This window comes from Homo sapiens, chromosome 13 (assembly GCF_000001405.40).
Source record: "Homo sapiens chromosome 13, GRCh38.p14 Primary Assembly".
Taxonomy (NCBI): Eukaryota; Metazoa; Chordata; class Mammalia; order Primates; family Hominidae; genus Homo; species Homo sapiens.
This window is the reverse complement of record NC_000013.11, coordinates 67,613,203-67,637,535: the sequence shown is the minus strand read 5'-3', so window position 1 is coordinate 67,637,535 and position 24,333 is coordinate 67,613,203. Positions and strand designations below refer to the sequence as shown.

The 24,333-nt window shown below is 34.2% G+C and overlaps 1 long non-coding RNA gene across 2 annotated transcripts in view; it reads right to left on the bottom strand.

The window, feature by feature from the left end:
* LOC105370249 (uncharacterized) overlaps nt 1-24,333 on the bottom strand; it is a 52,794-nt gene that overhangs the window by 11,621 nt on the left and 16,840 nt on the right. For both annotated transcript variants that reach the window (XR_942046.3, XR_942047.2), the window contains exons 3-4: nt 14,278-14,335; nt 13,176-13,255 (exon numbers count right to left, since the gene is read on the bottom strand). This is a non-coding gene — a long non-coding RNA (uncharacterized LOC105370249). The remainder of the gene's footprint in view (nt 1-13,175; nt 13,256-14,277; nt 14,336-24,333) is intronic.

The following is a 24,333-nucleotide window of genomic DNA, read 5'->3' as shown; positions in this document are numbered from 1 at the left end:
ACACGGTGAATAAAGAAGCAAAAGAGAGCAAGCCTGAATGTGCCAGGCTCCTTTTAACAACCAGCTCTTGTGGGAACTAATAGAGTTTCCACAAGAGAATTTACTCAGATAATTTACTCAGCCATCCTGCCCCTCCAGGGAGGGAATTAATCTATTCATGAGTCATCTACCCCTGTGACCCAAATGCCTCCCATTAAGCTCAACCTCCAACATGGGGGATTAAATTTTAGCATGAGATTTGGAGGAGACAACCATCCAAATTACAGTTTGGATGACCCAGGATGAGCTGTCATCTTATATGTTGACAACCATGGAATCAAATATGTTGTGAAGCCAGTAACTGGAATCCGTGCTAGAGGAGCTCACACCAGTTCAAGCTGTGAAGGACATCACCAGAGAAGAATTAATTAAGAAAGACTTCCTGTTAAGACAATTGGTGGGAACTGGGCAAAATATAATAAGCAACATCTCATCCCAGTGGGAAGTAGATGTACCATGGAACACAATGATGTTTATAATACAATATTTGTCAAAGCTGATTTGTTTTGTAGCTGGATATGGCTGAGCTGTAAACTTAACAGGCCCCCAATTAATGCACAGTGACTTGAAATAACTACTTGTCTTACTGAACATAATATAAATTAGACACCATTGGCATATTGTTAATATACATTTTGTATACAAATCATTATTTTAATAACACATCTACTGGTTAATTGGTGTAATAAAGGATTTGTGGTTGTTTGAAAAAAGTAAGGAGAAGAGGAAATATTCTAATGAGAAACCACAGAATGGAAAGTTAGTTGGAAAAACTGATTTGCAATTCCTAATTGTTGTAGCTGTCATGAAAACTGACTTAAGAGGAAATGAATTTAGTTTCAGAATAACTTGATATGCATCTTTCATCTTTATCTGTTGAAAAGTATAACGGCTAATAAATGAAGAGATAAAAAGTAAAATAAAATTGGTTAAAAATTACTTAAAACTTGTAAAAACTGTGGTTAAGACCAAAATATTTTGTCACTCATACTAATATTACTTGAATTTTACATACTTCATCAGCTATAGACATAAAAATCTTTTCTGTTTACAACATCAAAAATAGACATTTTTGAAAAGAGATATAAAATTGTATTAAAATGATATATGACTTGACTTATCCAGAATGCAAAGTTAGATTGGTGTTAAAGGGTTCACAGTGGGAATGAATTTTTACACCATATCCAGAAGCAGCAGAGAATATGACTCTGGATTTGCCATCTTGCAACTTTGTCCCCTGCAAACCTCTGGCATTCAGCTCAATGACATACCAGGCAAATTGTACTTGGTTATCAGAATTCTTTATTGTTAAACTCCATGAATGAGTTGTGGCTGCCCTGGAAAGGATATGACGTGACCCATATTGCTAGAGTAGCTTTAGGAAAAGCTAGGTGAAGAAGGAAAGTGGTTGCTTCCCTAAGTTCTAGTAGTCTGTGAGTTCAGCCTCTACTTTTGCAGTCAAACATTGCCTGTACAGAGGAGATCCTGGAGAGCCATGAATATTATGAAATCTATGGGTGAAAGTGATACTTTTTTATGGGTCATATGCGCTGCTTTGTTCCCTTGAGAGCTAACTAAACTTGTATTGGAAACATATTTTCTTGTGAGTCATTCAAATAAATCTGAGTTTACGAACAAATGATACTGAGTCAGTGACTGGGTTGTATAAAACACCATATTTTTAAAGAATTAAATCAGTTGAAGTTATCTTAGAAAGGAGAAAATTTAAATATGGTCTAAAAAGTTCAATAATTAAGAGCTTCTATGCATAAAATGAAAAAGACTAATAGATGTAACATAATGTAGTAGCAGATACAAGGGCTTTTAAATTAAACATTTCTGTTTGAAAACAAGCGTCAATACGTGCTAATTATTTGATCTTGGGTAATTTATTTAACTGCATTGACCCCATTTACACAATAATAAAATGAATTTGGTGTGCATTCTACAGAAGGTACATGTGCTTATTAGAAAAAATGATACATAAAACTCTACCAACAAAATGGGTGCTCAGAAAATATGAGTATATCATGTCTTTCTTTTAAATTTTGTCTGGTTGATAATATTTTGAGAAATGTATTCCAGTTTAGTTTTATTAAAAGATTATAAAATATATGAATTATATAATAATTACTTTGTCAAATATATTTTTTAGTTTTACTTGTGATCTGTTGTTGCATAGCAGATTACCCTCAAACTTAGTAGCTTAAACAACAAATATTTGGTATCTCATGGTTTCTGTGGATCATAGATCAGCACAGTTTAGCTTAGAGCTTCCCATTCAGGATCCCTTACCAAGCTGCATTCAGGAGGTTGATTAGTGCTGTGGTCATCTAGCCATCTCAATGCTCAAGTGAGAGAGTCTCAAGTAAAGTCATGTGAACTTTGGCAGGCCTTAGGTTGGATGGAAACCTGGCAGTGGAATGGAAATATTAGTTTCTTACCATGTGGGCCTCTCTGTTAGGCAGCTTAAAATATGGCATCTGGCTTTTCCCTAAGGGAGGGAACTCCAGCAAGTCAGAGGTAATAGTATCTTTATAACCTAATCACAGAAGTGACATTTAATCACTTTTGCCATATTCTATTTGTTACAGGTAAATCACTAGATATTGCCTGCAATTAAATATAGGAGATTATACAAGTGTATGAATACCAATATATGGAATTATTAGAGGCCATCTTATAAACTGTCTTCACAGTTGAATGTCTGGATCCCAATAATTCATGTTTTTTTTTTCACATATTAAATGTACTCCACCCCTTCATGGTCACCAAAAGTGACATACCATTATACCAGCAGCTCAAAGTCCAGAATCTTGCCATCTAAATCAGGTCCAATTCTGCACAAGACTCTTAAGATAATTCCCTAACTACAGCACTTTGAGTGTAATTTCTCTCATAGTGAGCAGGATTACCATGGTTATAGCTATCATTCCGCCTGGGAGGAATTCTTATTTTGAGGTTTAAGTCATAATTTCATAGATTGTAGCTCCATTTCATTGTCATCTAAACACATGTCTGTCTGTGGTTCCTCTTAATTTGTGAAACCAAGGAAACAAATTGTCTTATGCCCCATACATCTAACATAAAATAATGGGACAAACAGAGGACAACTTCTAAAAACATTCCTATTCAAAAAGAGTGAATAAGGAGGACACAAATGAGTCTCTGGTCCGTGGCAATTCTGAAATCTAGCCAGGGAAATAATGAAAGTTCTCTGATTAGATATCAAGGCCTGGGAATAAATCTTCATGCCTGTCAATTCTGCTTCCTGGGATCTTGGTTCTGCCTTCTGAGTCATCTCTCGATTCTCATAAAAAATAGCATTTGTTTGCAGGTGAATAGTTTTCTCTCTTCCTCTTGACAGCAGAATTTTGGAGGTACAACAAACTATTTTCATTCTGTACTTTCCGTTTTTTTTCTTTTTTCCCAGTCCAAGCTAGCAATGTTTCTACTATCAATTTTTCAAGAACTTTTTCAACCGCTGGTGAATCTCACTGGGTTAAACTCCATTAGACAAAGCCACATCCATAAATGCCTTTGAGATAGCCTTTCAGTACCCCGGGCTTCTGCTAGGAGAGCTGAAGACAAACACTTTAACTTTCTTAGAGGGTCTGCTGTTGATTGGGAGGAACTGTGAGGTACACTCTTAATCTTTTTAAGGGCCTTTTGTAGAAATAATGAGTACTTTGAGGCACCACCTTCGAACTTCTAAGAACTTAACTTAAGAAAAGATTTTTCAGATACATCCTTGAGTCCCTTTTCTTGTTCATATTTTCCTGGCAGGCTCCTGGATTTGAACTTTTTAAAAAAACATTTAACTTTGGCATCTTTTGCCATCAGAAGAGGATAAGGATGTTTTGTTTTGTTTCAAAATAACAAAGATAGGATTCATTTCTATGTAACAGTTTTTCCATCAGTTTATATCTTCTTTATATCATTTTACTATTAGCAGTAAGGAAAACCCAGATGGCAACCTCAGCACTTTGCTTGAGAACTTGCTTAGGTAGATCCTTAGTTCATGGTTTATTAGGCACATCTTTCCACATAACTACAAATGACAGTGTTGTCAACTTTTCTGCCACTATATAACAGGGATTCCCCTTTCTCCAGTTTTCAATAATTTTAATCATTTCCTTTTGAGTTCTCATCAACAATCTCCTCAAAGTCCAGATTTCTACTGAGAGTCTCATCAAAGAAACTTGGCTTTTCCAAAGAAACCTCAAAATCTTTCCAGTCTTAACCCACTTCCTGATTCAAAAACTACTCTCACGGTTTTAGATATTTATTACGGCAGCACAACACTTCTAGGTAGCAAAACTTGTACTGGTATCTAATATTATATAACCAACAACTCCAGCATTTAGCAGCTTAAAACGACAACCATTTGTCATTTTCTTGTTTCCATGGGTTTGGAATCTAGGGATGGCTTACCTAGGCACCTTTGATTCAGAGTATTTCAAACGCTACAATCAAGGCTCAACTGGGAATGAAATACTTTCAAGCTCATTCATGTGACTTTTTGCAGGCCTCAGATTTCTGTGACACATGTTATTTGTAGACAGCATTATTTAGCCTATGGTTTCTCAATAGGGTAGCTCTTAACATGGCAATTTACTCTCCCCAGAGCAAGTGAATGAGAGGGCAAGCAAGATAAAAGTCATCTTTTTGTAACCTAATTTTAGAAGTGGCATCCACAACTTTTGCCATATTCTATTCATTAGAAGTGAGTCACTCAGTCTAGCACATAATCAAAGGAAGGAAATTGCATAAGGGCATGCATACTGGGATGTGAAATTATCAGGGGCTGTTTTAGAGGCTACCTACCGCACTTGTGATAGAAAATATTCAAGTATTAAATTCACATTTTTCACATTTGTCTGAAAGTGAATTCATATGACTTCCAAGTTTATTGCGATTCTATGTTTCTATAAATATTATCATTTACAGTCAGAGTGTAGAATTATTTTTTAATACATTGTTAAAAATCGAATGGATTTTGCTGGGTGCCATGGCTCACGCCTGTAATCCTAGCACTTTGGGAGGCCAAGGCAGGTGGATCACTTGAGGTCAGAAGTTCAAGACCAGCCTGGCCAACATGGCGAAACCCTGTCTCTACTAAAAATACAAAAAATAGCCGGGCGTGGTGATGAGCGCCAGTAATCCCAGCTACTCGGGAGGCTGACGCAGGAAAATCGCTTGAACCCAGGAGGCGGAGGTTGCAGTGAGCCGAGTTCGCACCACTGCACTCCAGCCTGGGCAACAGAGGGAGTCTCTGTCTCAAGAAAAAATAACAAATAAGAAAAATTGAATGGATTTTGATATTTTTAGCTTATTTTCTCCCTCAATAATACTCAGTAGATGAGAATTAATTTTTTTGTCAAAATTCTGAATATTTTTGTGATTTTAAAGTATTTTAAGCTCCTATATCTTCTACAAACTTATTTTAAATTTGAAGTAAGGTTTTCTATTTAAAGAAGTTTTCAAATATTATCGTAAATTGTCAAAAAATGTACCAAAATCTTCTCTGTTTCATGGTTGTTGTTGTTTAAATGTGGTTTTCTCAGGGCAGGCAAACTTTTTTAAAAAACTAATTTCATAATGGTAGGATTAGTATAATTTTGTAATTACAAAGTGTTGTGCATTCACTTTTGGTGATCTGTCACTAACTGAATCTCTCAGTGCAGTTTACAAAGTCTGAATTAAGGCCTTGAATTTCCAGTCTACTTCTTAAATGAATGAGCCACATCAATTTGTATTCATTTAAAATAAACATTTTTTAATGATAATTTTCCTCCCCCTATAAAACTATGGTATTTTTATTGCTTAATTTAGGATAGTTTTTAAAGTAATGAAGCAAGCATTCCAAACTCCAAGCACCCATTTTGTTAATTTTTAAATGCAATATTTCTTCAAAGTGAAATATTAATTTATTTCTAGTATAATATACTATAGCAAAGGTTATGAAGAGTAAGATAAAACATAGACACCTTCCTATTTTAAATAATTAAGAAAACTGATTAAAATGTATATGCATTTATCAATACCTGTGGTTATTTCAGAACTCTATGAAGATTTAAGAAAAAAACAAAAACCTTTTTGTGACATTCTAAATTGACCTTTCAAAATCCATCAATTTGGTGGTTAAGTTATAGATATTTGAATAACTAGGCCAGAGCAAATATCCTGAATGATCCTATTACGTTAAAGTAAATAATATATTTTATTTCACCTTTATTATTGTAACCAGGATATGAGCAGGTGAGAGTCACAGTATTATAGTGTCCATACTATTATGCTCTCAATATTCATATATCCTGAGCTTTCAAAAAAAAACACAAACACACACACAAAACAAACAAACAAACAAACAAAAAAACCTCTCTGCTTTCTAAGCCTTTTCAGTACAAAGTATGCATCTGTGTGATTGGTTGCTGGGTTAAGAGGTTGCATAGATTACCAGATCGAACTACACTTTACATCCAAATTGATGTCACAACTGTAACAAATTGGGATGCTCAGCTATTGTCAAACAATGTAGAGCCTGCATTGGCAAATTAGTTAGTATTAGCATATAGACCTTTTGGCAGGAAAGGAAAGCTTTTTACTTAGAGCTGGGCATTCTCTAGGATTTGTCAACTCAAATCTGCCACTGGTCTCATTATCTCATTTGTCTTATTTAAGCTGAATTGGCAGTTATGTCTTCATGGCAAATGTTTGTTTTTACAAATGAGCAATGAAGCAGAATCCTGGAGACGCAACAGTAAAACAGTTTCATGGCAAGTTTTTAAGGTATTTCTCGAGAAGGATCATTGATTTAAAGCCATAGAAATTTTATTTTCCCCTCTTGATTTCTTCTCATATTGCAAACTTGTGGCTATTTAGGACACCTAACAGAGAAATTAGAGTTTCTTGTGTCAACTGGACAAAAATGTATTGAGCTTTGAGAACGTGAAAGACTTGTTAAATGACACGGACTAAGCTAAAAAGTAAGCAGTTCTTTACAATTCTTATTGTTTTAGTATTATAAGTTAAAATCTCTTTAGGTGATTCTAATTAGCACCATCATATATCTTATGCACCTATGTGAGTATCTATATGTATGTACAAAACCAAACACATATGTGTATACATACACTTACATACAGATGTGACATCACTCTCAACAAGGAATTTTAGAAAATTAGGCAATGGAGAGACTATTTGCTTTCCATGGGACACATAAACACAGCCTTGTATGAATGCAAACACATACAGCCTCAGAATAGTACTGTGTGTGTATGTGTGAAAGTAAAGTGTTAGCAATTGTATGTATATAAACTGTTTAAAACTTTTGTTAAGACTACATCAACTAGGTTATACTATGTGTTACAAAAATAATGCCATGATAAAATACCAGCAAAAAATATAATAACAAAGGTATTTTGGTTAATTATGTGGGAAACCAAATGTAGAAAAAAAAACAGTAAATGCTAAACAATGTGAGTTGTTCTCAGGATTATCTGGCTCTGTAATTTTACTTTAAGCCATGTTCTATAAGAAACACTTGAAGATCTACTAGATAAGCGCTACCATTCTGACCCCAAATTTTTATGGACTTCATATATTGTGAATGCTGAAAGGAGTATCTTTGCTCAAATTTACAGATAAATTGATTACGGATAAATACAAAATTTCTTATGAAAACAACAAGATAAACAACCTTTTACTAACATAAATAACTGAGAAAAATATGTTTCCCTTATGAGCAAACATAAGTAGTCATGAATTAAGTAATCCCTCCAATTTTTATTAAAAATGTGACGATTATGATGTAGGAAAATTTGCAACACACACCAGAGATTTGATGTCCAAGAGGGGCCATGTGTTTCTGTCACAGATAATAGTTTATATGGGTTCTTCTTCAGGTTATGGATATATTAACACCAAAATTTTACTTACTCCAGTGTCAGTGACATGACTAGAATATCATGTATGGATTACAATAGAGATTCCACAGTGGAAGCACTAGTAAATTAAATACTAGTCTTCAGTGGGTAAAAGTGAAAATATATTAAATCAGTATTTGTCTATATTATACAGAAAATGTATTTCCAAATCAGGGAAATAGAATATTTGTAAATATTATTATATTTAACTTTATAGTTATGTTTTGGTCAATTCATTTAAAAATATTTTTAATAGTTCACTTAAAATACAATTAGTGTATTTTTTGCTTTGTATATTTCTGTCTTCTTTATATTTATAGTTAGAAAAAAATAGATAGGATGCTCATTCTTCATGATTGGCCTCAGTGAAGTTGGATAAAAAATGTTAGTAAGCACTAGCATATGTAGAGGATTGTGCTTTACAGAATCTGTGACAGGGATTAGCACGTAGGCTTGAGAAAGGAATTTATAGCTCATTTTCTTTATCAACACCATGCAGAACATTATGCTATAAAGTATTGTGGTCCAAAATATGTAACCTAAAAGCTATGCTGAGTGATTGTCAACCCCAGAATACCAAAGAGATAACTATATTTTTGAAAACTTGTAGTATGCTACTTCAAAGGAGATAATTATTAAAAAACTATCAAATACATTTTGGCAACCTCTCAATAAGCAGTAATTACTGCCATATGACTGGATGTAGAAGTAAATTTCTAAAACTTATTTTTAAGTTTTATTTACATTAATTAGCTTGAAAGTAGGATAAAATTACCCTTTCCAAAATGGAATCCACTTTTTAATGAGCTAAACAAGTCAATATTCACAAAAACTGAGACGGACATGTTCACTTCAAAGTGGTTCCTAGAGATTATGAACCAGTGACTACAAAATATCAAAAATTATTAGACCAAATGTAAATCATATTCTTTAAAAGAGTAGATGTATACACCATAGAAAAACAGAATTTCTATGAGGTCAGAACAAACTGGAAAGACAAAACTTGGACAGTAAGCAGTTGCTGAAGCTGCCGTGTATCATGAATTCATGTACCTGTGAAGGGAGGGATATGCTGAGAATCTGTTGACTTGTACGTGTGCTGGCTGGGGAACTAGATAGGAATTCACCACACATGTAGTAAAGAATAAAGAAAGTTCTATAGCATAAAAAGAGGTAGTTAACTAGAAGACAATTTGAGGACAGTCTGACAGTAAGGAAATTTTGTCTCTCGTGTTTCGGCTCTTGGTAGAAGAAAAATAAAAATAGCATCTTATGGGATTTTATGGCAACTGACTAGTAGGAGAACTGAATTTTACACTATTTGTCTGGTTCAAAAATACAAAAGAAAATTTAATTTAGAGTAGACTGGGTTTGTATTTCCTCCAAATCTCAGGCAGACAAAACAAAACTAAACAAAACAAAGGCACTTATCCTCTCCAGGGAATTGACCCCAGAAAAAAGCCGCATAGGAATGCCATAAAGAGTTATAAAAAAAAGAAACCCAATTAAAAATCATAAAATAATACAAGAAATGAGTCTCCATGAGTGGTATGCAGCAGGAAAAAATTAAAAATGCTAGATAATAAAATATTATATATTAGAATTATTACATATTGTGGTAGGCTGAATATTAGACCTCAAATATGTTGACATCTGAATTTCTAGAACCTGTGAATATGTTACCTTATATGGTAAAAGAGGCTTCTCATATGTGATTAAGTTAAAGATTTTAAGATGGAGACATTTTCTGAGATTATCCTGTAATCCTGGATTATCTTTATAAGAGAGAAGCAGTAGAGTTAGAGTCAGAGAGAAAGAGATCTGTTGAAGGAAGCAGAGACTGGAGTGATGCAGCCATGAGCCAAAGAGCCAAGGAGCAAGGAATTCCAGATGCCTTAGAGGCTGGAGAAATAAAGGAACAGATTCCACTCTGGGGCTGCCTGAAGGAACCAGCCCTGCCAATATTTTCACTTGAGCTCCTGAAGACTCATTTCAGACTTCTGTTCTCCACAACTTTAAGAGAACACATTTGCCACGAAGTTGTGAGTTGTGGTCATTTGTTACTGCAATAATAGGAAACTAATACACTTTAAAGAGTGAAATAAAAACTTCTTAATATGCTTAAAGTATTGCAAAAGAAATTGAAAATTTTCTTGAAAAGAGAAAACTAGAAATAGATACAGATCTGTGAGGGAGACTAATTAACCAACTTATTGGTAGAGATGTTAACAAATGTAATAACTCAAATTGAAATGCTACATAAGAGTTAAATAGTAGAATCAGCACAGCAGAAGAAATGATTAGTTAGATTGATGATTCATCTGAAGAAAATACCCAGAATTCAATACAGAACATCAGAAAGATAAAATATAAAAGAGGTTTAAGAGATACGGGACAATTGGATAAGAAAACATAATACGTATCTGAATGTAAAGTGATTGGAGAAGGAAAATACTGGAAAAAACTTAATCCGGAAAATTTCTAGAATTGATGAAAGATACAATACTCTTGAAAAGCATTCAGTTACATCTTCAAAAAGAACTTCATACTTAAATATATCATGATCAAACTGAAGAACACTAAATACAAGTAGAAGACAGACAGATAATATTTACTGCACATATATGGTTGAAATGACAAAACATTATGCTATTTCAGGAATATGTATTACAGAGTGAGGGTCAGTGTTTTACACATACAAAAAAGAAGAGTCTTTTTGAATGTTATGCAAAATGGAGGAGGAAAGAGTACGAAGGTATATGTTCAAACACTAAACAAAAGCTTTACAAGGTAGAATGTGACAGTCACGTGATGGGACAAAGTACTGTTACTCTTGATTTTTTATATTTAAAATGTAAATGATAAATTGAAAAAAGGAAAACCAATAACAATATGACAAAAAGTTAATCACAATTTTATAATACACACACATACACACACACCTCACTTCTTCTCTCAAAACTATTTTCGTCATTTTTTCTTATCCACAACATAAAATCACTCATTATTCTCTTATTGTCACCTTATTTTTCTGCTTAATTTCAAGATATTCCATAAGCATGACATATATCACCATTGACCCAGTTACCCAAATTAAATGTCCTTCATTTAAAAAAAAATATTTTTTTCATACCACCAGAAGGTTTTAAGAACTTCATAAAACTTTTTACTGCTTTCCATTTCTTCTAATTCAACTCAACCTCTGCAATACATACAACACACTCATGTTTTCTACCCAAATCCAGTAATCTTTCTAATCTAGCTCAAAATGCCACTTTGTCCATGATTATTCCAGAACTAATGAATACAAACTTGTATAGTATACCCTTGGGGAAGAAAACAAAAGAAAACAAAAATAAACAAACAAAAAACCCTACACAATTTTGTTACATGAGTCTGAAACAGGAAGGCTGGCTTTCTGGTGTGATCTGGTCTGGAGGAGAACAAAAGCCCCTTACTCAAGATGTAGCTTACCTAACTTTCAGCCAATCAGCAACAACAGACCCTAGATGTTGTTAACCACAAGTGCATGGAGTTAGGGACTTCTCTGAAGCCCCACATACACAGACTTAACCTAAACCTACAATTACGCCATCTTCATTATAATACTATCAATAATACCTAGAAATGGAGATTTAAAATGCTAATGCTACATGCAATGTATAAAGAAACATGTTAAACCACTGCACAAGTGTTATAAAGGGCCCTCCCATACATGCCTTGACATCACTCTTTCTCATAGGAAAGCTGTATAAAATTAACTTCCACACTGCTTTTGGGCAGCAGCCCATTCTTTCTTTTTATGGTACTGGTTCCCTTGTGAACAAGCTAAATAAACCTTCTCCTTGCAGTTATACCTGGTAGTCTCTCTTGATTTCTATCCTGGGAGGTTGCAAGAACCCAGGGCATGAGTAACAAGTCCATGAACTGATGTTTATGAGAAACACGTGTAATTAAGAGGCTGCATCTACAGGCTCTTGGCTTAATCAAGCTATATCAACTCTATATATTTTCTCAAGATATAATCTTCCCTTATTCAATAAGTGATGAGTACAGGTGATGTCTTCATGTACCCCAGGAAAAGAATTCTTTCCTATTTATAAAATATGCTTGTTTCTTTGAATAAGAAATTAATGTCTCATATATCGTAAAAGAATAATATAATTGGATATAATTAAACACCCTTAAATTCTGCCCTGAATAAATTAAGAAGAGTGAAAATAAGCTACACTCCAAAATAAATTTGTTGATACATATATAACTAAATTTCAAGAACATATTCCGTTGTCAAAGTTCAGACCACTAGCAAAAGGGGAAATAACTTTTTCAATCATTGAAAAGTTGCAGCTTCAGGCAGTCGGAGGACTAGACGGAAGGCTAGACTAGTAAGGTCTGGGCTAGATACAGTGAGTGAAAACTTCCGGTCTTCAAATTCCAATTCATTACAATTAAAAGACTTAATGTGCAATCTTGCCCAAAGAATAAGGCATATATCCCTAATGTGAGCAGTTTTTATGTTACTACCTCCTTACTAAAAGTACTGTAACCTAATGATTCATATATACATACTGCATTGTACTGTGCTACAATTTCATTGGTGAGAATAGCACATCTTGTACTTAAAATACTTCCCACTTTTTTGAAATTTCAATATTCTAAACTTTAAAGAAATCCCCTCTTGAAGCCACAAAACTGTGTTCCACCAAGTTTCAACAAATAGAGGCAGCTGTTAAAAATGAAAAACTAGAGGCTTGTTAGTTTCTGTATTAATTGATGGGGATTGTATGCCTCATCTGAAAACCAGTTAATGGTATTGATTCATTCCACCTGATTCCAGAGTAATCAGCTTTCCATATTAGCAATTGCACAATCTATTTACAATACACACTAAAACTAAATATTTAATTATAATGAAGACAGTGAATCTAACTAGATATTATTTATTTTTTAATTGCTAGTATTCCTCCTTTCTTCTAAAAACAACTCTCTCTTCTTTGTTCTGCCTCTCCACCTGTAGCATAAGTCCTAATGTAAGCAGACATTGTCCATTCCTCTACATGGAGTGACTGTAGAATAAATGGGCCTCTGACGAAAACCATAAAAATCTTTTCATGATGATTAGGTCACAGCATAGACATGCAAATGGAGCAGCTATATGTGAGATTTCTCCGTTATTTTTATCTGAAGCTAGTAGAAGGAGCTTTTTACCTGAGGTTCAGCTGTGAGGTTTTGTGTCTCTGGTAGTTACTGGTGCCCATGTCTCTCACTACGAGGAGAAACCTAATCAACTTTAGAAAAAATAAAGCCCAAATTAGAAAGAGAGAGGCAAAGGGGAAAGTGCTAAAGTATACATTCTTTATTGTAAGCAAGAAGATACATTTTACTGTATTTTAATATTTAGAGAAACCCAATGAAGTATTGTTATTACCATTGTAGAGGAGAAAAATGGTCTCAGAAAAGCTAAAGGAATTGTGCAAATTCAATCTATGATTCTATTGCACCAAAGCCATGTTTTTAACCATTATACTATTGCTTTAGTTTCTGTTGCTATTAACAGAATACCTTAAAGTGGGTAATTTATTTAGAAATAAAAAAAATTTCTTACAGTTAATTGAAGTCCAAGGTTGATGGAATCTTCTGGTCATATCAGAGGGCCTTCTTGCCAATGGGAATGGGGACTCTCTCTGCAGAATTCCAGGCCAGTACAGGGCATCACATGGCTAGGGAGCTGAGTGTGCTAGCTCTGGCCTTTCTTTCTATTCTAATAAAGCCACCAGTCCTATTCCCAAAATAACTCACTACTCCATTAACCCAGCAGTCCTCAACCTTCTTGGCACCAGGGACGGGTTTCATGTAAGACAATTTTCCCTCAGACGGTGGGGAGGGGTAGTTTCAGATTGATTCCAGTGCATTACATTTATTGTGCACTTTATTTCTATTTTTTATTGTATTTATTTATTTATTTATGTATTTATTTATTTATTTATTTTTGAGACGGAGTTTCACTCTTGTCGCCCAGACTGGAGTGCAATGGCACAATCTTGGCTCATTGCAACCTCTGCCTCCCAGTTCAAGCTATTCTCCTGCCTCAGCCTCCCATGTAGCTGAGGTTACAAGCATGTGCCACCACGCCTGGCTAATTTTTTGTATTTTTAGTAGAGACGGGGTTTCTCTATGTTGGCCAGTCTGGTTTCACACTCCTGACCTCAAGTGATCCACCCACCTCGGCCTCCCAAGGTGCTGGGATTACAGACATGAGCCACCACCCTTATTACATTGAAACATATTTTGGAATAATTATACAACTCACCATAACATAGAATAAGTTGGAGTCCTGAGCTTGTTTTCCTGCAACTAGGCAGTCTCATCTGGGGGTGATGGGAGACAGTGAGAGATCATCAGGCATTCACCATCAGATTACTATAAGGAGAGCACAACCTAGATCCATTGCATGTGACAATCTAATGCCGCTGCCGATCTGACAGGAGGTGGAACTCAGGGGGTAATGCAAGCGATGGGGAATGGCTATAAATACAGATGAATCTTTGCTCACTAACTCTCTGCTCACCTGCTGTGCAGCCTAGTTCCTAACGAGACATGGACCAGGGGCCATGGTGCCGGTTCATGGCCCAGGGATCTGGGACTCCTGCATTAACCCACAAATTTATGCGGGCAGAGCCCTCATTACCAATCACCTCTTAAAGACCCCACCTCTCAGTATTGCCACACTGGGGATCAGGTTTCTACATAGTTTTGGAGAGGACAGACATTCAAAACATAGCAACTATATTCACTCACTATTCTCTGAGTGAAACTTTGAATAAAAAGAAAACTTTAATGAACCAGTGCTTCAGCTTTCCAAATATCTTTAACTAGATTATTGAAAATTTATGTAGCTGACATATTACCCTTGATGTTAGTAAATGAATCCTCTGGTGGGGGGGATTGGTGATTGCTTATGGAAATAAATGTGATGAAGAACTACATGTGTATTATTTTGCTTTTATTATTTGGAGACCATGCTTATATTCCTGTGCAGGTTTTCCTATTTGCCTTTACAGCAAATGAGAAATAAATAAAAATAGGATGTAAATAAAAAATCATAAGGTGGTGATACATGTCTTAATTAATTTATTTATTTAAAAGAGTGGGATCTATTATGTCCGTGTAATGTTGTTACAGGAATTTTAAAAACTTCAGATGCATGGAATAATAATATGATTTTTTTTGCTATTTTTCATTACTCTCTTATAGTTGAGCTTCATTTTTGCTAAAATTGGTATATAAAAATGGAGTTATCTCTGCTTGTATCTATCTCATCTGGCTTTCTCCATTATTACAATTGAATACATGCAAAATACGAACACTAATACTTCCTTAGTTCACATTTTATAGTATCAGCCAAAAAAGTCAAAAGATTTACATTGGACAAGCATACTAAAATGAAAGCAATTTTAACATACTGAGGCAAATATGAATTTTGCATGAGTAATAGGAAAGTAGAATATATGGACTAAATTTAGTCACACACACACACTGGATTAATTTAGTGTGTGGATATGTACATATACATATATATATATACACATATAGACAGACAGTATATCACATGAATCAATATGGTATAATCCAAAGCCGTGCTGTCCAATAAAACTCACTGAAATGATGCAAATGCTCTATTTTTGCTGTAATTAGGTAACCACTGGCCATGTGTGGCTTTGAGTTCACAAAGGGGAATGAGGAATGAGACTGTGAAACTGAATTTTTAATTTTACAGCAACCTGGGGCTAATGTCCAACTATGTTGGACTGTGCAGATACAGAGGAAATAACAAATATGGTGAGAAAAAGTTCATAAATATGAAGAGAAAATATTTTATAATAAAATTCTGCATTAATTAGTCTATCCAAATGAATGAATGTGCTAGTTAAAGAGCATTTCTTAGTCGACTGAAACAGAAAATGTTAAAAAGAAAAACACTTAGAAAATAATTGTATGCCACTGATTCCAATATAACTGTAATAGTGTTTAAGACTACAGATATGTTTGAGCCATTCAGTATGCAATAAATTTACATCTTATATTTTTTCAAATGGAGGGTGTTTGAATTATTGTGTATGTAAGTAGTATATAAGTAGGATAAGTAAATAAGCAAAAAAAGTGAACAATTATATATTGGAATTTATGTAATATATGTGATATATATTCAAAATATTTTGAAGTAAATGGGTCACCTTCCAGGATAAAGCAATTAACTTGTCCAGTTTAGCATGATCCTGTTTCATGCTCAGTGAAAGTGTAATCATATGCTTCTGCTCAGAAATTTATTAATAATTTCCCAAGAAGTAGAGCAATTTACTCAGAGAGAAATTCCACACACTCCTATGAAAGGCGTCTCTAAAAGAATCATCTAGAGTGTTCAAAACTGGAGGAGACAAATACAGATTTACAAAAAAAGTTTACGTTCTTAACTGCTAACAACTTTTGTTTTCTGATTTAAACATCCTTGCCCTGAGATCTCTAGTTGAATCAGAAAGAAATGGTCCCCATCTGCATTGCATGTCTCTTTTACAGATGAGAAAAATGTTCCTTTAATATGTGGCTGCAGCTAAAGACGGAATCACTAATTGAGTCATGTTTTGTATTTATGTGACGTCTATGTTTGGAAATTGAACTGGGACTATCAAGTTATTTAAAAAAAAAAAAAGCTATTGGATATTATAATGTTTAGTCACCAGTGGTTTGGTTGGAATTTAATGCATCTGTGAGCTAGAAGTTAACATCTTTGTATCCTATTACTGATCTCCTGAGAAAGCTAGACTTATTTATTTCCTCATTTTAGATTCAAAGAGGTCATTTGTTCCGGATTAAAGACAAACATTGATCCTTAAATTAAAAAAGAAAAAAGTTTTCTAATGTCTGGTACAAGGTTTTTCTACTGTGACTTTTAAGTGTGAAAATATAGTTTAGCCAAGCAGAAAACCTCTTTACAGAACCAATTATGTTCTAGGTATCAATCTCAATGTGTTGGTCTTTTTGAGAATGCACTTCCCTCTCCACAGCACTGAAATTGCTCTTAGTATCACAGAGATACTGAGATTTTCTTTTTTTCATTTCTTAATCTTCACAAAATTCGAAAGTTTTTGAATTCTTTTTCTTCTTACAGAGTTAAAATGCCTAATCACTAATGCTACTTCCTTTTCTGCATAAGTATGACTATTCTGCTGATGTCAGGAATCGCAGCATAGTTTAAAGAGTAATGCTGTGCTATGCCTTGTCAACAGTCCCTGCTATAAGAGCAGTCAGCCTCTGCAAGCCCCAGGTCTTATTAAAGAAAATATGTGGAAAAGTAGAGCCAACCTGCTGGGTGTACCCCTGCTCTGTTTTATCATAGGATTTACATCACTGCAGAACATGGCAGAAGAGTTATAAATAAACCAACAGAGAGTGACTCATGCTAAAGGACAATAAAGCGTCTACTCCAGACACAGTCACCCTTCTTCTATTAAGTTATTATTCCAATTTTCAATTCAGGTTTTCAGGGCTCTTAAATATATTTTCCCCCTCTCAATTATAGATATTCCATTTATCTGTATTTTCCTCTCTCAAAATAGCTATGAAAATTACAGAATAATAGAACTTATTTCATTATACCACATTTTAGAAGTAAATCTTTGTCCCTTACAGGCTTTTCATAACTGTCTTCTATCATTTGTTTTATACATCTGCTAATTGAGTCCACACATAAATTTTGATGGCCTGTGTTATGCCATATTCTGTGCTAAGCAACACAAGTATTATGCATGAGCAACATATTCTGAAAAAGGAATACTCACATAATCTACCTACAAAAAGAGATCATCTGTAGTGCAACTATTAGACACCCAATAAACTGGAATATATAACTATCTAAATGGTTGCTCTAAAGTCTCAGACAATTTTGGAATAATCCACAAAGCTTTGACAAGACTGGATTTTTCAAGCCTCATTTCAGATCCAGTGAGTCAGACTTTCTGGCAGTGTTGACTTTAGAGTAAAAAGAGTCACAGCTCTCAGGAATGAAGAGGGAAAAATGACAAGGCTTGGATAGGTCTTGAAGGAGATAGAGAGCTTTGACTAAGACCCTTACCCAATACTGGGATGTTCAATGACCTATATACTTCAGCAATCTGATGGGCTATGGAAGATAAAAGAGAGAGAGAGAGAACAAAGAGAAAACGTATCTTTGCTGTGTGTACGTGGCTGGGGATGGGAAGAGCAGTGAGTGAGAAGAGCAGAGCAGTCTCACTTCCATGATTATTTTATTTTTCAGGAATAAAATATAAATGTTAAATAACTTTAGCCTTTACTGACTCACATCTTCATACTAAATTTCAAAGGATAACCCCTAAAGGAATAGAAATATAATTTAATAATTCTCAAACCAGTAATCAAAAAATGAGGGATTAAAAAATCAATAAATCAATACAACAAATGAATTTAAAGAAATTGTTTGTATTTTATAAATAAACTGACTCTCCAAAACTACCTCTCTGAAAATAATATAGAGCATATCACAGGTTGAAGAATAAGTACACTAAAATGCCTACTATATTCATTTAAATAACTTGTCATGTATGTATGTATAATCATACAGATGTATGAAAAATAGGAATTGGGATAATGGCAATCTCTGGGGAAGAAAGAATATGAAAGTATATAAAATGCTTCCATTATAGCTGCAAATACTAAATTCTTAAGCTGGGTGGTGTCTCCATGTGTCTTGATAATATCATTTGTTATATGTTTTTATAACAAATATTTCATGCATAAACACAAGTATGAGAAACATCAAATATACTGAGGATTATACAGTTAGGAATGGAAAGTTCTAAATTAAATGCTCATGAGAAACAACTTCTAGTCCTCAGAATTATTACCTAAAATCTGTTCTGTGGTTAGCCATAATCAGCTACCTTTATTCTCTTTCTTTCCCTTTTTGCTTATGCAGCCTTCCTGATCCCAATCTCTTTCTTCAGGTTCTCCAAATTTTTCACTCCTTAATCATGAAGAAATGTTCAGCTCCAACTCTCTGCTTAACTTGATTATGTGTGCACTCAAACCTAGTATAGCCCTCATCAAGCAGATAATCTTCTTTTTTTTTTTTTTTTTTTTTTTTTTGAGACGGAGTCTCGCTCTGTCGCCCAGGCTGGAGTGCAGTGGCGCGATCTCGGCTCACTGCAAGCTCCGCCTCCCGGGTTCACGCCATTCTCCTGCCTCAGCCTCCCGAGTAGCTGGGACTACAGGCGCCCGCCACCACGCCCGGCTAATTTTTTGTATTTTTAGTAGAGACGGGGTTTCACCGTGTTAGCCAGGATGGTCTCGATCTCCTGACCTCGTGATCCGCCCGCCTCGGCCTCCCAAAGTGCTGGGATTACAGGCGTGAGCCACCGCGCCCGGCCCAAGCAGATAATCTTCTAATTAGGACGTCTGTTCTTACTCATACACACACAGTGTTTAAGAAAAAATATATATACACACATATATACACATGTACATATACATCTTGTTATCCTATACATTTAGACATGCCAAAAAAACAAATCTACAAAGCGGAAGGGTTGCTTTATTCTTGTTTCTCTAGTATCTAGCACATAGTTCTGTACATGGCAAGGGTTACTAGATAAGGGATCACTCAATATTGCTGGTATGACCTGATCCACCAGCAACTTGGCAAGCCCTGTCAACCCCTTCCATGTACATAACGACACTATTTGATTCATTTTCAAATATATGTAAAGAAAAAAAAAGTGTAGGAGAAGAGAAAACATCATAAATCCTGGTAAAAATATAGAAGAGGGAAGGAAAATCTGCACGGATAAAATTTGTCAATTTCCATAGAAAGCAGGCTTCCTTAAATTTTGTTCAAACCAGTACTAAAATGATTCATTATTGAAGCTTAAAATAAAAGAGATTTGCATAATATGCTAAAGCTATGAATAAGGGAGAGATGCAGTCCATACATAAAGCAGGCTGTTGTAATTATGTTTGCTTTGGGGGATATATGTTTCTACTGAGCAATAATACTAATAATCATATGGAGGTTTGTGCGTTTGGCTGTTTTCCTGATTGACAGAACCCCAAGCCTATCTTTGATGGCCACTAATCAGCTAAGACCACCAACTGCTCTTATTTTCTAGCAGTTTATGGCTTTGTGGTTCTAGGTAATTGTTTTCGGTGTTTTATTTGTTTTTGTTTTTCTTTCAAGCCCAGCCCACAGATGCCTGGCATAGGATTAGGTAAATTGTATTATAAATAGATTATGTTTCAATTGAGATGCATTTGCTAAACCTTCTGTTGACTTCCTTTGCCCAAAGGCTGCCTACTCAGGAGCACTACTCAGGAGCACCATCTCTTAGAAGTGAAATAAAGTCATCCTTTGGTATCCAAGGGGAAACGATTCTGGGACCCCCTGCAGATACCAAAATCCATGGATGTTCAAGTCCCTTATATAAAATGGCATGTTGTTTGCATATGACCTATGCATATCATCCTGTGTTCTTTAAATCATCTCTAGATTACTTGTGATACTAAATATTATGTAAATAATTATTACATTGTGTTGCTTAGGGAATAATGACAAAAAAAAGTCTGTACATGTTTAGTAAAGATGCAATCCATCCTTTTAAAAAATATTTTGGATCTACATGGGTTCTGCAGAATGCAAATTTACATTACTTACTTCAAAATGCAGATTTACATTACTTACTTCAAAATGCAGATTTACATTATTTGGATCTGTGGTTCATACCCATGGGTTCTACAAAATGCAGATTTACATTATTTGAATCTGCATTTTGCAGAACCCATGAGTATGAAAGGCTGAATATACCTGCATTTCTATTTTGCTGAAGTAGCAGAGCCTGTCCAGCTCTTTAAGCACATCAAAGTGTTGAGCATTATTAAGTCTCTTTAACTTGCACTAGAAACTGAATATAATTTAGAATTTGAATAGTTTCATGGATCTCTCTTTACACATTTCCACCATCCTCTAATCTTTGGCTTTGTTTTCTGTGGTGGTTGTTCCAAAAGTTTAATAATCAGATTTTTATGGACAAAATATACTTTTCTCTGGATATTTTTTTACAAGCATGAAAAAAAAGTATGAAATGCTAGCTGAATTTTAAGGTGCTTTGAAGAAAGAAACACTGAATATTTTTATCCAACAGGGATATGTTGCTAATATATGAAGGGAAAAAATGTCTGGCTATAGCACCTAGGAAGATATTTTTGGATGATATAAGAACATTGAGAAAAGTGAATAGCAAATACACACATCGACGATGCATTTATATTTTCTAAATATGACTCTTCCTGTTCTTTGGAAAATGCCATTTTATAAACTGAATTTGAACTCAGAAGTTTAGCTTATTAAAGGTTAGATAACTACCCAAAAGGGTTTAGGAAGATAGAAAACCTCTGTGTTGTATATATCATAACTCAGAATAAAAGGAAAAATAGTGCAATTTAAGGAAAGACTTCAATATCCCATGTCCTTTACCAACTGATGAGTTTACTAGATTTTGTTTTATTTGTTGCTGCTAACTTACTTAAAGTATATTCAGAATTAGATTTAAATCACATCAAATGTTTTTTAATCCAACAATTGATATACCACTGGGATATAGCCAAATAACATCATCATAACCTCATCTGTAAACACTGTTAACTGGGAACTCAAAATATATAATTTGACCTAAACAAAAAGAAAAAAGAATGTTGATGAGTAAATTTATGCTGTGATTGTATATCTATTGGTCTATTTACCTTCAAAGAAACTCATGGACCTATATTCCTGTGCCCTGCACCAAAATATACACAGATCGTAAACTGTGCTTGATATTTTCTTGTATTAAAATACTTAGTAAACTTTTTACAATACTGTGTCCTCACATTACATGACATTAGTGGGAAAGTTCTGCTCTGACATACACCAGTCATTCTGACATATACCAGTCACTCTGACATATACCATTCACTCTGGTAAGAGGTAATTTCCATTCAAGTAAAGATACAATTAATAGATAGACACTATGGAAAAATGTAAGAGAAATACATAAGGATTATAGAAATGAATAAGCTAAATATAAATTTGAAAGTATTTATGAAACCAAAGAATTGCTTCTTTGTCCTCAGAAGGTTACTTGACTTTTGTCTTCTTTACTTTGTGTCTTCTTTCCACATTTCTCCCAACATCCTGTTTTTCTTTTATCTATTGTTTTCTGTCTTCTTTTAACAAATTATGTAATTTTAGAGGGTAGCATGTCTTTTCTCTTTACTCTCCTTTGTGACCACAGATTTTAAATTTCCAGTTCTTCCAAGGGGCATCCTAGAATAAGTTAGTCAGGAATTGTAGTTACATTTTTATTATTATTAGCAAGATTTTAGCTTTTCAAGTTGTTGTAATTGCACTAATGCAGCTAATTCTGCATTCTTTGCATTATTTTGAATTTGTTATTAACATTCCTTTAATTTGAGCATCTCAATCTTAAACGTTTTGTGTGGCCAAGTGGGTAAAATGATGCATATACATGCTCATAAAACAGAAAGTGATGAGAAACCTAGAAAATTAGAACTTGATGCTTTTTCTTAAAATTATTCAAATTCAAATTTCTAAAAAACATTAAACTTGTCAAATCAAACATGAGGTACCATTACCAGTTGTATAACCCTTGTATAAATTAATTTGTAGTTGAACAAATAGACTCATATGCAATTAAAAGTAGATATCAAACGCAAATTTGCTTACCTCAGCTCATTAAAACTTCAGTTAAAAATTCTCATATGTTATGCTAAGGATTTTTTCATTGATGTTAAAATTCAGATTGTCCCATAAGGTTACATATAGTTCAAACTGAAAAAATATAACTATTAAGTTATAGATTCTGAATTCATTTGCATGATAGAAAATGGGGGAAAATTCTTTTAGAATAAATGAGAAAAAATTAAATGAAAAAAAGTATTTTTTTAAGTAAATGACCGAATACTAGCTTCAAACCTACAAAATAATTTTACTGAGGCTGAACAAAGTACTGTGAAAAAGGACAGAACCCTGACTAACCAAGTAGTTGCAATAAAAAATAGTGTATCTCGACCAGCCTGGCCAATATGGTGAAACCCTGTCTCTACAAAAATACAAAAAGTATCCAGGCATGAAGGCGGGTGCTAGTAATCCCAGCTGCTCAGGAGGCTGAGGCGGGAGAATTGCTTGATCCCGGGAGGCGGAGGTTGGAGTGAACTGAGATTGCGCCATTGCACTCCAGCCTGGGCGACTGAGCAAGACTCCATCTCTAAATAAATAAATAAATAAATAAATAAATAAATAAATAACAGTGTATCTCTTTTGCACAAAATTAAGTGCTACATATTAAAAGCCTAAAGCTGAGACTTTTGCATATGCATAACATCACCTGTGAGTCAGATTTGTCTTTTAGACAACATTTGCACAACTGAGAAGATACTATCAACTGTCGTATCTGCCAATAAGAAAGAAAAAAGAAAAAAAAAAGTAAGACAAACCAGTGGTTTCTTATCAAGATCATAATCTAAAGGAGGACTTCTCAGGGGGAGAAAGGAAAAGTGTCAGAAATACAAGAGGGGTTTCTCAAACTGTATAAACAGAGGCAACATTTAGCCAAAAGGCATGTGCAATAAAGGAAGAGCACAGATTCTGTTCACCAGTGATGTATTGAACATCATCCCTAAATATATAGAAAATTTTACCCTAATTTCATGAAGGTCTGGTTGCATATACTCACACACAGTCTCACATTTATGCTCACATGTGCTCTTATTCTTACACAGGAACCTTCCCACTCAGATTCTAACACTGTCCTTCACACTCACACCCATGTTCAATAACACACCCAATCCTATGCCAGTAGACACTAGTCTAAATTCTATAGAAATTAACAACAGTTGCTCAAAATTTTCCTGTTAAGAAAAAATATATATTTTTTCAATTGAGAGCAGGTGGATAATGGACTTAGTGTTCATATATATATACATATATATATGCATATATATATACACATATATATATATGCATATATATACACATATATATACATATATATACACATATATATACATATATATACACATATATATACATATATGTGTGTATATATATATACACATATATATACATATATGTGTGTGTATATATATATACACACATATATACATATATGTGTATATATATATACACATATATATACATATATGTGTGTGTATATATATATATATACATATATATATTTTTTTTTGAGACGGAGTCCCACTGTCTCCTAGGCTGGAGTGCATTGGTGCCATCTCGCTCACTGCA